General features: G+C 39.0%; 1 protein-coding gene across 4 annotated transcripts in view; it reads left to right on the top strand.

Annotated features, from left to right (window-relative positions):
• MED13 (mediator complex subunit 13) overlaps positions 1–14,380 on the top strand; it is a 122,674-nt gene that overhangs the window by 80,035 nt on the left and 28,259 nt on the right. For all 4 annotated transcript variants that reach the window (XM_011525551.3, NM_005121.3, XM_011525553.4 and 1 more), the window contains 5 exons: positions 154–244; positions 379–593; positions 877–1,073; positions 2,130–3,046; positions 12,356–12,517. In XM_011525551.3, coding sequence (XP_011523853.1) covers positions 154–244; positions 379–593; positions 877–1,073; positions 2,130–3,046; positions 12,356–12,517 — 1,582 coding nt within the window. The remainder of the gene's footprint in view (positions 1–153; positions 245–378; positions 594–876; positions 1,074–2,129; positions 3,047–12,355; positions 12,518–14,380) is intronic.

Here is a 14,380-nt window from a genome sequence, read left to right as displayed (position 1 = left end):
TCTTTCAACACTAGTATGTATTTGGCTGTATCACAGATTCAAAATACTACTTTTAATGAATGGGCTTTACTGTTAAGTTATATCTGAATGATTACTATTTTGAGATCACATTGGATGTAAAATTTTAGATAAATATGTGCTTTTTTTAAATAGCCTGGATCTAAAAAATCAGCAAATGGATCAGATGATAAAGCCAGCTGCAAGGAATCAAAGACAGGAAATCTGGACCCGTTATCTTGCATAAGTAAGCTTCCCTCATCTGTGCTCGAGATAAATTTGCGAACTTTTAATCTCAACAAAGCTCCCCACTCCTTTTGGTTTAAACACAGATTCGCCTATTTTTAGTCATGTTAAAATGTATGTTTTTATTAAATATAGGCACTGCAGATCTTCATAAAATGTATCCTACACCACCATCATTGGAACAACATATTATGGGATTTTCCCCAATGAATATGAATAATAAAGAATATGGTAGTATGGATACAACACCTGGAGGAACTGTTCTAGAAGGAAATAGTTCTAGTATAGGAGCGCAGTTCAAAATTGAGGTTGATGAGGGATTCTGTAGCCCCAAACCTTCTGAAATTAAAGTAAGTATGTTTTTTCTAGAAAAATAATTCACTTCCTATATTTTCTTATAGAATTAATTTGTTGCTATAGTCAAAAATTATTTTATAGTGGTTGCGGTTTTGTAGCTAAGTTGAGGACTGAATTATTGTTGTCACTATTAAGAATGCATTTAAGAAAATAATAGAATTGTATTTAGATTTTATTCTGTTTAAAGAAAGGAAAAAAGGTCCAGAGCCTGTTTGTTTATTTATTTTTTCCTCCTAGAAGATAAGATACTGAAAACCTACCATCTTTATATTGTAGGATTTTTCTTATGTCTATAAGCCTGAAAATTGTCAAATTCTAGTGGGATGTTCCATGTTTGCACCTCTAAAAACTCTACCAAGCCAATATCTGCCCCCTATCAAATTGCCAGAAGAGTGTATTTACCGTCAGAGTTGGACTGTTGGAAAATTGGAATTGCTTTCTTCAGGGCCTTCAATGCCATTCATCAAAGAGGGGTATGATTTATGTTGTTACAATAGTATGTGACTGCTTATACAGCTTTAATTTTTTTTTCATAGATTTACCTGGTATGCTGGAAAAATAAAATTGGTTTTTGAAAATTCTAAAAATTATTTCTGGTTAATCAATTATAGTGATTGGCTGGGAGCAGTGAATCACGCCTGTAATTCCCATACTTTGGGAGGCCAAGGCAGGCGTATCCCTTGAGGTCAGGAGTTTGAGATCAGCCTGGCCAACATACGAAACCTCGTCTCTACTAAAAATACAAAAATTAGCCAAGCGTGGTGGCGCATGCTTGTAGTCCCAGCTACTTGGGAGGCTGAGGCACAAGAATGGCTTGAACCTGGGAGTCAGGCATTGCAGGGAGCCGAGATCGCACCAGTGCACTCCAGCCTGGGCAAGAGTGAGACTTTGTCTCAAAAAAAAAAAAAAAAAGGTTAATTGGGTATGGATAAACTATTAGGAAACTTAAGACTATTATGCTTGATTTGTATTCCGAAGCACCTTTTCTTTTGGGCTGCAATTTTAAATTGCTCCCATTTTTACATTTGCCATCTTTTCCACACTTTTCACATTTTAACATCTCTGACTTGGTCAGTTTCAACTCAAGGCTAAAAGAAATCTGAATCTGAGATGTCTTATAAGTGGTAGCATTTTAAAATTACCATTTTTCCCTTTTTACACATGAGCATCTCTAAAATCATTTTTCTTTTTTTATAGTCAGTAGCATCTTAGAATCAAGGAAATATAAGTATTTCTAGTAAACAAAATTTATAGATAGTAAATATGGATGTCTAGGTATGCATTAGTGTATAGAGTGCTTATTAATGATTTTTGAACTTGTTAATTGATCCTTAGTCAACAACAATCACTTAGAGTAGATATGTTAACCAGAAATAAGAATTGACTGTGCTTGTAATTCTTGCAATACTTGTCCTTTCATAATTTTCTATGTAATTGAAAAACATTTGGGACGTTTTTAGTTGTATTTCACATTACTAATATGTTCCTTTATATATATATTTGATCTTCTTTTACCCTGGTGATGATAGTGATGGAAGTAATATGGATCAAGAATATGGCACTGCTTATACACCTCAAACTCATACTTCTTTTGGGATGCCTCCTAGCAGTGCACCTCCTAGTAACAGCGGAGCAGGAATTCTTCCTTCTCCATCCACCCCTCGGTTTCCAACTCCAAGGACTCCAAGGACTCCTCGGACTCCTCGTGGAGCTGGTGGACCTGCTAGTGCTCAAGGTTCAGTCAAATATGAAAATTCAGACTTGTATTCACCAGCTTCTACCCCATCTACATGCAGACCCCTTAATTCTGTTGAACCTGCAACTGTCCCTTCCATCCCTGAAGCACACAGTCTTTATGTAAACCTCATCCTTTCAGAATCAGTTATGAATTTGTTTAAAGACTGTAACTTTGATAGTTGTTGCATCTGTGTTTGCAACATGAACATCAAGGGTGCCGATGTTGGAGTTTACATTCCAGATCCAACGCAGGAAGCACAATATAGGTGTACCTGTGGCTTCAGTGCTGTCATGAACAGAAAATTTGGAAACAATTCAGGATTATTTCTTGAAGATGAACTAGATATCATAGGACGCAATACAGACTGTGGCAAAGAAGCAGAAAAACGTTTTGAAGCTCTCAGGGCTACCTCTGCTGAACATGTTAATGGAGGACTAAAGGAATCTGAAAAATTATCTGATGATTTGATATTATTGCTACAAGATCAGTGCACTAATTTATTTTCACCCTTTGGAGCAGCAGACCAAGATCCTTTTCCTAAAAGTGGTGTAATTAGCAATTGGGTACGTGTTGAAGAGCGTGACTGTTGCAATGACTGCTACCTTGCATTAGAACATGGGCGTCAGTTCATGGATAACATGTCAGGAGGAAAAGTTGATGAAGCACTTGTGAAAAGTTCATGCTTACACCCCTGGTCCAAAAGAAACGGTAAAGTATGCCAATAAAATACTTTTTTGTTTGCTTATTTCCCTTTAGTTACATTCTTAGGAAAAAGTAATAAAGGCAGTTTCCCATGTGGCAAATACATTTAAAGTTGGACTTAAAACTCTTTATGGATGATGTTTTTAAAGGGAGAATTTCTTAGCAGTTTAGTTTAATTTCACCAATAAAAGTATGGTTATTATAAATCTGTAATTATATACTTATGTAGGAATATGAAAGGCACATTCCATATATTTATTAGCATAACATTGCTAGTGGTCTGCTTTATTCAACATTCTTTCACTCATTAAGTATTTACTGGGCACCTTGTATGTGCCAGGTATTAGCCTAGATTCACTGTTGAACAAAGCACACATATTCTTTGCCCTTTTTGAATCTATAATTTAGTGGAGAAAATAGGAAATAAACAAAAAAGCATATAATAGATAGTAAGAAGTAATTTGGAGGAAAAGCAGAGTAAAACAGAACAAGACACCACATATGTACTATTTTAGATGTATGGTCAGATAAGATACTACTGAGGAGATAGCATATGGGAAAACTCCTACATAACATAGAATATGAGCTATGTAGTTAAATGAGGGAAGAGTGTTTCAGGCAGTGCAAAGACCCTGAGGGAGTATTTTGCTTTTACATGTTTGAGGAACATTAAGGTGACTGATGCTGCTGGAATGCTTTGTGTGATAGGGAGACTGGAAGGAGATGAAATTTAGGAGGTAGCCATTCACCAGCATCATTTAGAGTCTTATAGACCATGTAAGGCCTTTGTGGTTTATACTAAATGTGATGGGAAGCTATTGAACAGTTTTGACAAGGAAAGTAACATGATCCTTATTCTGATTGTTTTTTAAGAGATCTCTCAGTCTGGCACAGTGGCTCATGCCTGTAATCCCAGCACTTTGGGAGGCTGAGGTAGGCAGGTCACCTGAGGTCAGGAGTTCGAGACCTGCCTGACCAACATAGTGAAATCCCGTCTTTACTAAAAATTTAAAATTAGCTGGGCTTGGTGGTGGGCGCCTATAATCCCAGCTACTCGGGAGGCTAAGGCAGGATAATTACTTGAACCTGGGAGGCGGAAGTTGCAGTGAGCCAAGATCGCACTACTGCACTCCAGCCTGGGCAACAGGAGTGAAACTCCCATCTAAAAGAAAAAAAAAATGGCTGGGTGCGGTGGCTCATGCGTCTAATCCCAGCACTTTGGGAGACTGAGGTGGGCAGATCATGAGGCCAGGAGTTTGAGACCAGCCTGCCCAATATGGTGAAAAATACAAAAATTAGCCAGCATGGTGGGGCGTGCCTGTGGTCCCAGCTGCTCAGGAGGCCAAGGCAGAGGAGTTGCTTGAACCTGGGGGGCGGAGGTTGTGTTGAGCTGAGATAATGCCACTGCACTCCAGCCTGGGCAACAGAGCAAGACACTCTGTTGCTATTGTGTGGAAAATAGCGTTGGGGTTTGGAAGTAGTGAAAGTGAGAACAGAAGCAGGATAAATCAGTTGGAAGGCAGTTTCAGTAGCTTAGGTGAAAGATGATGGTAGCTTAGACAAGATAAGAGGCCAGCGAGATGTAAGTAATAGGTTTTAGGTTATTTGGGAAATAGAACCTACAGGGTTTGCCAAAAGACGTGTAAGGAAAGATGAGGCATCAATAATAGCTTGAGCACCTGGGTGAATGGTAGTACTAACTACAGAGGAGGGAAACACGGGGGAGTAAATCAGATACACATTTGGAGATAATATGTTTTAAATTCAGAGGAATGATTGGGTCTGGAGATAGAAAAATTTTGTGTGTGAGTTATTATGAAAAGCTGTGGATCTGGATGAAATAAACTGTAGAGTAATTGTAGATAGAGTAGTACAAGGATGGAGCTGACATTTATAAGTGGGGAGGGAGAAAAGGCACCAGGAAAGGAAATTGAGAAGGAGGTTGGAGGAAAACCAAGGGAGCATGGTATCCTAGAAATCAGGTATAGGGAATTTTTGTTTGTTTGTTTTTGTTTTGAGACAGAGTCTCGCTCTGTCACCAGGCTGGAGTGCAGTGGCGTGATCTCGGCCCACTGCAACCTCCACCTCCCGGGTTCAAGCAATTCTCCTGCCTCAGCCTCCCAAGTGGCTGGGACTACAGGTGCACGCCACCACACCCGGCTAATTTTTTGTATTTTAGTAGAGACGAGGTTTCACTGTGTTGCCCAGGCTGGTCTCGAACTCCTGAGCTCAGGCAATCCACCTGCCTCGGCCTCCCAAAGTGCTGGGATTACAGGTGTGAGCCACCGTGCCTGGCCCGGGAATATTTAGAAGAGAGTGATCATCTCTATCAAATACTTCGATACATTAAGGTGAAAACTGAGACAGGCTATTGGATGTGACCAAATAGAAGTTGGTGGTCACCTTGATAGGCAGTTTCAGTCAATCTGATTGGAGTGGGTTCACAAAAGAACGGGATGAGAAGCAAACTTAGACAATTTTCTGGGGACTTTTGCTGTAAATAGCAGAGAAATTGCATAATAGGGTTAAAAGAGAGGTTTATTATTATTTTATTAAAGGTGCATTGGGAGTGATCCTATAGAAAGGAATTTTTTTTAATTGACAGATATGGCTTATGGCTGTAATCCCAGCATTTGGGAGGCTGAGGCAGGCAGATCATTTGAGCCCAGGAGTTCAAGACCAGCCTGGTGAACATGGCAAAACCCATCTCTACTAAAAATACAAAAATTAGCTGGGTGTGGTAGCATGCACCTGTAGTCTCAGCTACTTGGGAGGCTGAGGTGGGAGTATAGCTTGAACCTAGGAGGTGGAGGATTCGGTGAACCATGATTGTACCACTGCACTCCAGCCTATTTGACAGAGTGAGATTTTTCTCAAAAAGAAAAAAATGGCCATGTTTGCAGGGTTGAGTAATCATGATAGTACAGATGGAATGTTATATGGCTTCTGAAAATGAATTACAGTTATGTATAACAAATAGATGAATCTTAGTGATACTATTGAGGAGAGGAAGAGGGAACAAGTCCCAGAAGATTACATATAGTCAGATACCCTTTAAAAATACCTCTTTAATGTATTACCGTTAATAAAGTTTTGAAACAAGCACAACTAAATGTATTATTTACATGCACATAAAATTGAGAATATTGGTTAATTCTTGAAATTTCACATGTGTCCAAAAATGACCAAGAGATAGGGATAGGGAGAAACATTTAATAAGATCGTTTTTGGTAATGTTCTAGTTCTTGGGCAGTGAGATTACAGTTGTTCATTTTATTATTAAAGAAAATTTTTGAAATGTAAGAGGACAACACATGGACCAGTGATTAAGTTCATGTATATGACAGTATCAGCATTTATCCAATTATTCATTCTCAGGGACCAAATTTAAAAAGGGAAAGACACAAATAAATATCATAGGTATTCAAAAAAAAGGAAAGATTATTTTAAGCCATATAGAGTAGTTAAGATCATAGGCTGTGGACTCAGACTGCCTGGGTTTGAAACATGACTCTAGCACTATATACTACCATGACTCTAGCACTATATACTACCTGCTACCTTGGGCCAAGTTAGTTAACCTTTCTGTGCCTTGATTTCTTAAAATAGGGTCAATAATAGATTTACTTTACAGGGTATTGAGAGAATCAAATGAAATACAGAGCAGTTGATCCGCCCACCTTGGCCCCCCACAAAGTGCTGGGATTCCAGGCATGAGCCACCCAGGAGTTTGAGACCAGCCTGACCAACCTAGTGAAACCCCATCTCTACTAAAAATACAAAAATTAGCTGGGCATGGTGGCGCATGCCTATAATCCCAGCTACTCGGGAGGCTAAGGCAGGAGAATTGCTTGACCCCATGAGGTGGATATTGCAGTGAGCCCGAGATCCTGCCATTGTACTCCAGCCCAGGCGACAAGAGTGAAACTCGGTCTGAAAAAAAATAAAAAAAATAAAAAGCAGTTTTGGAGGTTGCAATGAGCCTGAGATCCTGCCATTTCGCTCCAGCCCGGCAACAAGAGTGAAACTCGGTCTGAAGAAAAAAAAAAAAAGGCAGTTTTTGGCACATAGTAAGAACTCAGATGTTAGTAGTGGTAATGACAGCAGCAGGAGGATTAGTGGCACTCTTTATAATTATTTTGTTTTTAAGAACCAACTTATTTGCCAAATAATGGAAAATATTGAGCTTTACCTGGTATATGTTTTTTGAATAACAGTAAGCACTGATGTAAACAGAAAGCTGCAGACTTGAAAATGAATTTCTTAACAACTTGTCCAAAGAAAATAATTTAGTACAAGAAAGAGAGAAATGGGGCTGGGCACCATGGCTCACCTCTGTAATCCCAGCATTTTGGGAGGCTGAGGCGGGAGTATTGCTTGAGACCAGGAGTTTGAGAGAAGAAAGAAAAGCCTTTATATTTCAATTAAAAATTTTCAGTATTAAAAACAAATAATGGGCCGGGCACGGTGGCTCATGCCTGTAATCCCAGCACTTTGGGAGGCCGAGGCAAGTGGATCACAAGGTCAGATCAAGAACATCCTGGCTAACACGGTAAAACCCCGTCTCTACTAAAACTACAAAAAATTAGCCAGGCGTGGTGGCGGGCACCTGTAGTCCCAGCTACTCGGGAGGCTGAGGCAGGAGAATGGTGTGAACCCGGGAGGGGGAGCTTACAGTGAGCAGAGATGGTGCCACCGCACTCCAGCCTGGGCGACAGAGAGAGACTCCGTCTCAAGAAAAATAATAATGTTGGAAAACATAAATGTGCAATATTAGAATACTTTGATTAAATTATAGCAGCATCATGAAATGGTGGCAAGCTCCTGCATTAGAGCCCTTGGCATGTTTCCTCCCTCTTGGATACTCGTTTTCCAGATATTTATGTGGATAACTCTGTCTCCTTTAAATCTTGTCAGATATCATCTTCTCATTATAAAAATGCAAACCCTTCTTCTTGTTCTCCATCTTGCTTTTTTTCCATAGTGTGGACTATTACCTTCTAACATAATAAAATTTATTAATTGTTGTTTCTTACCCCCATTAAGTACACTCTTTGCAAAGTTCTGTGTAAAGGCAAAGATTTTTGTCTATAATCTAAACACCTAGAATAATGAACACAGTAGATGATCAGGATATTAAAATAGATGTTTGGATTTGTTTATTTAGTTTTAACATCTTGAAAGAAGGTTATGTTTGAATGAATTTAAAAGTCTACAAAGTATAGTTTGTATATATATGTATTTTTTCTGTTTTTTTTGTTTCTTTGTTTTTGAGACGGAGTCTCACTCTGTTGCCCAGGCTGGAGTGCAGTGGCGCGATCTCGGCTCACTGCAAGCTCCGCCTACCGGGATCACGCCATTCTCCTGCCTCAGCCTCTCCAGTAGCTGGGACTACAGGTGCCCGCCACATGCCCAGCTAATTTTTTGTATTTTTAGTAGAGACGGGTTTCAACGTGTTAGCCAGAATGGTCTCGATCTCCTGACCTCGTGATCCACCTGCCTCGGCCTCCCAAAGTGCTGGGATTACAAGTGTGAGCCACCGCACCCAGCCAGTATAGTTTGTATATTTTAATGACAACATTAATTTTGTTGAAGATAGACAAAGCTCTGTTCTAATTATAAAAAATACATACTTGCTGAACAAAAATTAAGAATACCATACAATTCACCCATTTAAAATGTACAGTTGGCTGCTTTTTAGTATGCAGAGTTGGACAGTCATCAACACAGTGGGTTTTAAAACATTTTCATATTAAACCCCCTACCCGTTAGCAGTCACTCCCTTTTTCCGTCCAACCTTCTTTCCTAGCTATAGACAACCACTAAGTCTATTTTCTGTCTCTCTAGATTTGCCGCTTTTGGATATTGCATATCAATCGAATTATATACTGTATGGTCTTCAGTGACTGGCTTTTTTCGCTTTCCATAATGTTTTCAAGGTTCATCTATGCTATAGCACATATTAGTACTTTATTGCCAAATAATATTCCATTGTATGAAGATACCGTATTTTATTTATCCATTCATTAGTTGATGGATATTTAGATTTTTTCCACTTTTTGGCTATTATGAATAAAGCTCCCATGAACATTTGTGTACAAGTTTTTATATGGACATGTTTTTATTACTCTTAAGTGGATTCACTGAGTCATATTCTGTTTAATCTTTATTTATTTATTTTTTTTTTGAGACGGAGTCTCGCTCTTGTTGCCCAGGCTGGGGTGCAGTGGCGCAATCTTGGCTCACTGCAACCTCCACCTCCCAGGTTCAAGCAATTCTCCCGCCTCAGCCTCCCAAGTAACTGGGATTACAGGCTCCTGCCACCATACCCAGCTAATTTTTGTATTTTTAGTAGAAATGGGGTTTCACCATGTTGGCCAGGCTGGTCTCAAACTCCTGACCTCAGGTGACCTGCCTGCCTCGGCCTCCCAAAGTGCTGGGATTACAGGCATGAGCCATTGCGCTTGGCCTTTGTTTTGTTTTGAGACAGAGTCTCACTCTGTCATCCAGGCTGGAGTGCAGTGGGGTACGATCTTGGCTCATTGCAACCACCAACTCCCAGGTTCAAGTGATTCTTGTGCCTCAGCCTCCCTGATAGCTGGGATTACAAGCATGCACCACCACACCTGACTGGTTTAATCTTTTGAGGAACCGCCAGATTGTTTTCCATAGCAGCTGCACCATTTTACATAACTACCAGCAATATATGAGGGTTTCACTTACACTTGTCACATTGTTTTTCTTATTATAGTCATCTTATAATCAAAGTATCTCATTGTGATACTTTGTGTGAAGTAGTATCTCATTGTGGTTTCATCTGCATTTCCCTAATGACTAATAATGTTGAAGATTGTTTCATGTGCTTGTTGTCCATTTGTATATCTTCTTTGGAGAAATGACTTTTCAGATTTTTTGCCCGTTTTTAAAATTAGGTTTTTATGTATTGTTGAATCCTGAGTTCTTTATATATCTTGGATACAAGGATATAAGCCCCCTTATCACATGTGTGATTTGCATATATTTTCTCCTGTACTCTGGATTGTCTTTTCATTTTTTTTTTTTTTAAGATACGGGGTCTTGCTACTTTGCCCAGGCTGGTCTCAAACTCTTGGATTCAAGGGATCCTCCCGCTGCAGCCTCCCCAAGTAGCTAGGACTGCAGGGGCCTACTATCACACTCAGCTTCTTTTCACTTTCCTGTTTTTCATATCTCCATAGGATGTGAAATCTTTTTACTTTCTTGATGGTATTCTTTGAAGCACAAACATTTTTAATTTTGATGAAGTCCAATTTATTTTTTCTCTTGTTGCTTGTGCTTTTGATGTCTAGGTCAGGACCTAACCCAAGGTCTTGAAAATTTACTCCTATTACTTTTTTGAAATAACTTTGTAGTTTTAGCTCTTATATTTAGATCTCTGATCCATTCTGAATTTTTTGTGTATAGTATATGGAAGGGTTCTGACTTCATTCTTTTGCATGTGGATATCTAGTTGTCCCAGAATCATCTATGGAAAAATGTTATCTTTAAGTTGTCTTGGTACCTTTGTCAAAAATCAATTTATCATAAGCATGAGGTTTGATTTCTGGATTTTCAGTTTATTTCTATTGATTGATTATCCTCCATGATCACTCCTTTTTTTTTAACTTTTAGGTTATGGGTACATGTGCCAGGTTTGTTATATTAAGTAAAAGGTAAACTTGTGTCCTGGGGGTCAGCATACAGATTATTTTGTCATGCAGGTAATAAGCATAGTACTTGATAGGTATTTTTTTGTGATCATCTTTATTTATTTATTTTTGAGAAAGGGTCTCGCTCTGTTGTCCAGGCTGAAGTGCAGTGTTACGCTATCATGGCTCACTGTAACCTTGACCTCATGGGTTCAAGTGATCCTCCCACTTCAGTCTCCTGAGTAGCTGGGACCACAGGCGTGTGGCACCATACCCAGCTAACTTTTTGTAGAGACAGGGTTTTGCCATGTTGCGCAGGCTGCCTGTGACCTCCTAAGCTCGAGCAGTCTGACTGCCTCAGTCTCCCAAAGTGCTGCAATTACAGGCATGAGCCACCACCCAAGCCCGGCCCGTTAGCATTTTCAACTACTAAGTAGTATTCTACTATGTATACAAAAGTTTATTTAAGCATATTACATATTAAGTATTGTATTTGGAACTTAGTTTTATCTAGTTCCGTACACTTTTTTTTGTTTTTGTTTTTGTTTTTTGAGACAACAGGCTCTCACTTTGTCACCCAAGCTGGAGTGCAATGCCATGATCTCGGCTCACTGCAACCCCTGCCTTCTGGGTTTAAGCGATTCTCCTGCCTTAGCCTCCCGAGTAGCTGGGATTACAGGCATGTGCCACCATGCCTGGCTAAGTTTTATATTTTTTGGTAGAGACAGGGTTTCACTGTGTTGGCCAGGCTGGTCTCAAACTCCTGACCTCAAACAGTCCACCCGCCTTGGCCTCCCAAAGTGCTGGAATTACAGGTGTGAGCCACTGGGCCCAGCCACTACACTTTTTAGGTATAGGAAATTGGGGCCAATAACGATAAACTAGGCAAAGGTAATAACGAATTAAAATTGAATAATTTAATATAACTGTGCTCAAACAGGTTTAGTGGTACAACTGGACCATTCTGGGGGCCACATTTATTATATCAATATCTTTTAGTGATTTTTCCTTTAGCCATTTGACATTTATGAGGAGCACCTTTCATACCCATTCTGATAGTTGGTCAGAAATGCAGGTCATAATTTGATAATTTATAAATATTTAAGATGTATAAGCTTATAAAATATTTATGGATAATATACTTTTTAGCAGTGTGAGCAAGTTACTGTATAATTTCTGTATTTTAGAATTGTTAAAGTCTACTTTTTTTTTCAAATTAAACTTTAATAATTATGACCAGTCTTTATTCACTTTACCATAGTAGTGCTAATGATGGGATATAATTTCAATGTGAGGCAGACTTCTTTCTGGTAAAATACCTACAGCACCAAAACAGCCAACATAAATGCAAAAAGAAAGAAATTTATTTGATTAATTTATAAATTGATTAATCAGCTAATGAATGACTTTTTATGGAAATAAGTTACAGTAACTTTTTATTGTGTGTCTTCTTGGTTGTAAGAATCTAGAAGAACCTTTTTACAGATCATCTTGTAGAACTTAATGCAATTCTCTGCACAAGTAAGGGTTTAATCTTCTTGATGCTGAAGACCTGAACTTCCCTATATGTGTTTTGTATTATCTTAAAATTTTATTTGTGTTGGCAATAGCAATTCTTAATTACTTGTTTTTTTTAAAATGCTTGTAGATGTGAGTATGCAGTGCTCACAGGATATACTTCGAATGCTCCTCTCTCTTCAGCCAGTTCTTCAGGATGCCATTCAGAAAAAAAGAACAGTAAGACCTTGGGGTGTTCAGGGTCCTCTCACTTGGCAACAATTTCATAAAATGGCTGGCCGAGGCTCTTATGGTAAGTAATTTATAGTGATATATAATGACTAATTTTATATCAGTCCTCAGATTTCTGTGCCCAACTAGAATAAGCACATTAGTTTTCTTTAAATATATTTGTGATATATTCTTAAGGCCACTGTGGTCCAATCCTAGCTTTTTTTCCCACCATTTCCAACATTCAGCTTACTCAACTCTCCAACTCCACTTCAAAAGGAGTGGCTTCTCTTAGGTCTGTTCTTACACATAGGGGGCTTTCCCTCAAGATTTTACATGAAGAAAGGGACATACTGCTTAGATTTTTTTTTTAAAGGCAAAAAAAATACTTTTGTTATTTATTTTACAAAATTAAATGAAAAAGGGAGGTGGAGTGGGAAATGAGGGTTATACTAGTGATAAAAGGCCCCCTAAGGTCTTCATTTAAAAAGAATTACAACTAAGAAGAAATTTGCTGGTTGTGACCAGAGTAGCAAATGAATTCTCATAATAGGTATGCAGATTTATTGTCAGCTGTGATGAAAATGCCATTCCAAATATTTGAATTATTTGTTGAAGATTGTCTCTGAAAGGTGGGCCGTAATTGGAGTTTTTCAGATATATTTGGAATGATACGTCTTGAAATCTTTGACTTTTGTGTATGGATTTGGAATGTATTACATATGAAAGTAGTAGATTTGCCTATATTTTCCTTTTCTCCCTCTTTTAATGGCTAAATAATTTAAATCTCATTACAAAACTAATATTCTGTGAAAAATGCAGGTCAATGAAAATATATTTTATTTTATTTTATTTTATTTATTTGGTTTTTTTTGGAGACAGAGTCTCGCTTTGTCGCCCAGGCTGGAGTGCACTGGCGCCGTCTTGGCTCACCGTAACCTCCGCCTCCTGGGTTCACACAATTCTCCTGGCTTAGCCTCCCGAACAGCTGGGAGTATGGGTGCACGCCACCATGCCCGGCTCATTTTTTTACTTTTAGTAGAGACAGGGTTTCATCACGTTGGCCGGGCTGGTTTCAAACTCCTGGCCTCAGGTGATCTGCCTGCCTCAGCCTCCCTAAGTGCTGGGATTACAGGCATGAGCCACTGTGCCCGGCCAGAAAATATATTTTAGTATAAACTTTTACATTATTTTAAAAACTAAGATGGTAGCCGGCGTGGTGGCTCACGCCTGTAATCTTAGCACTTTTGAAGGCCAAGGCAGGTGCATCACCTGAAGTTGGGAGTTCTTCAAGACCAGCCTGACCAACGTGGAGAAACCCCGTCTCTACTAAAAATACAAAATAAGCCGGGCATGGTGGTGCGTGTCTGTAATCCCAGCTACTTGAGAGGCTGTGGCAGGAGAAGAAGAATCACTTGAACCCGGGAGGCGCAGGTTGCCGCCAGCCGAGGTTGCCATGAGCCGAGATCGCGCCATTGTACTCCAGCCTAGGCAACAAAAGCGAAACTCCATCTCAAAAAAAAAAAAAAAAAAGTAGATATTTATTTATTTATTTCTGTACCTTAACTGATTTTGGAGATCATTTCTATCTGCACATATAGAGATTATCTTTTTTTATGGCTATATGTATTCCATTGTTCCTTACATATGATAATATATTTTACCAGTGCAGTGTTTATGAACATACAAATTGTTACCACCATTATCATTACAGCTACTTTTCAGTAATGCACAGATCCCTGGCTTTAAAGCATGGGTGTATTTTTATTTTATTTATTATTATTATTTTTGAGATTTGTTCTGTCACCCTGGCTGGAGTACAGTGGCACAATCATGGCTCACTGCAGCCATAACCTCCTGGGTCCAAGTGATCCTCTCACCTCAGCCTGCCAAGTAGCTGGTACTACAGGTGCTCACCACCACACCCAGCTAATTTTTGTATATT

This window comes from Homo sapiens, chromosome 17, assembly GCF_000001405.40.
Source record: "Homo sapiens chromosome 17, GRCh38.p14 Primary Assembly".
Lineage (NCBI taxonomy): Eukaryota > Metazoa > Chordata > Mammalia > Primates > Hominidae > Homo > Homo sapiens.
This window is presented reverse-complemented; position numbering and strand designations above follow the sequence as displayed.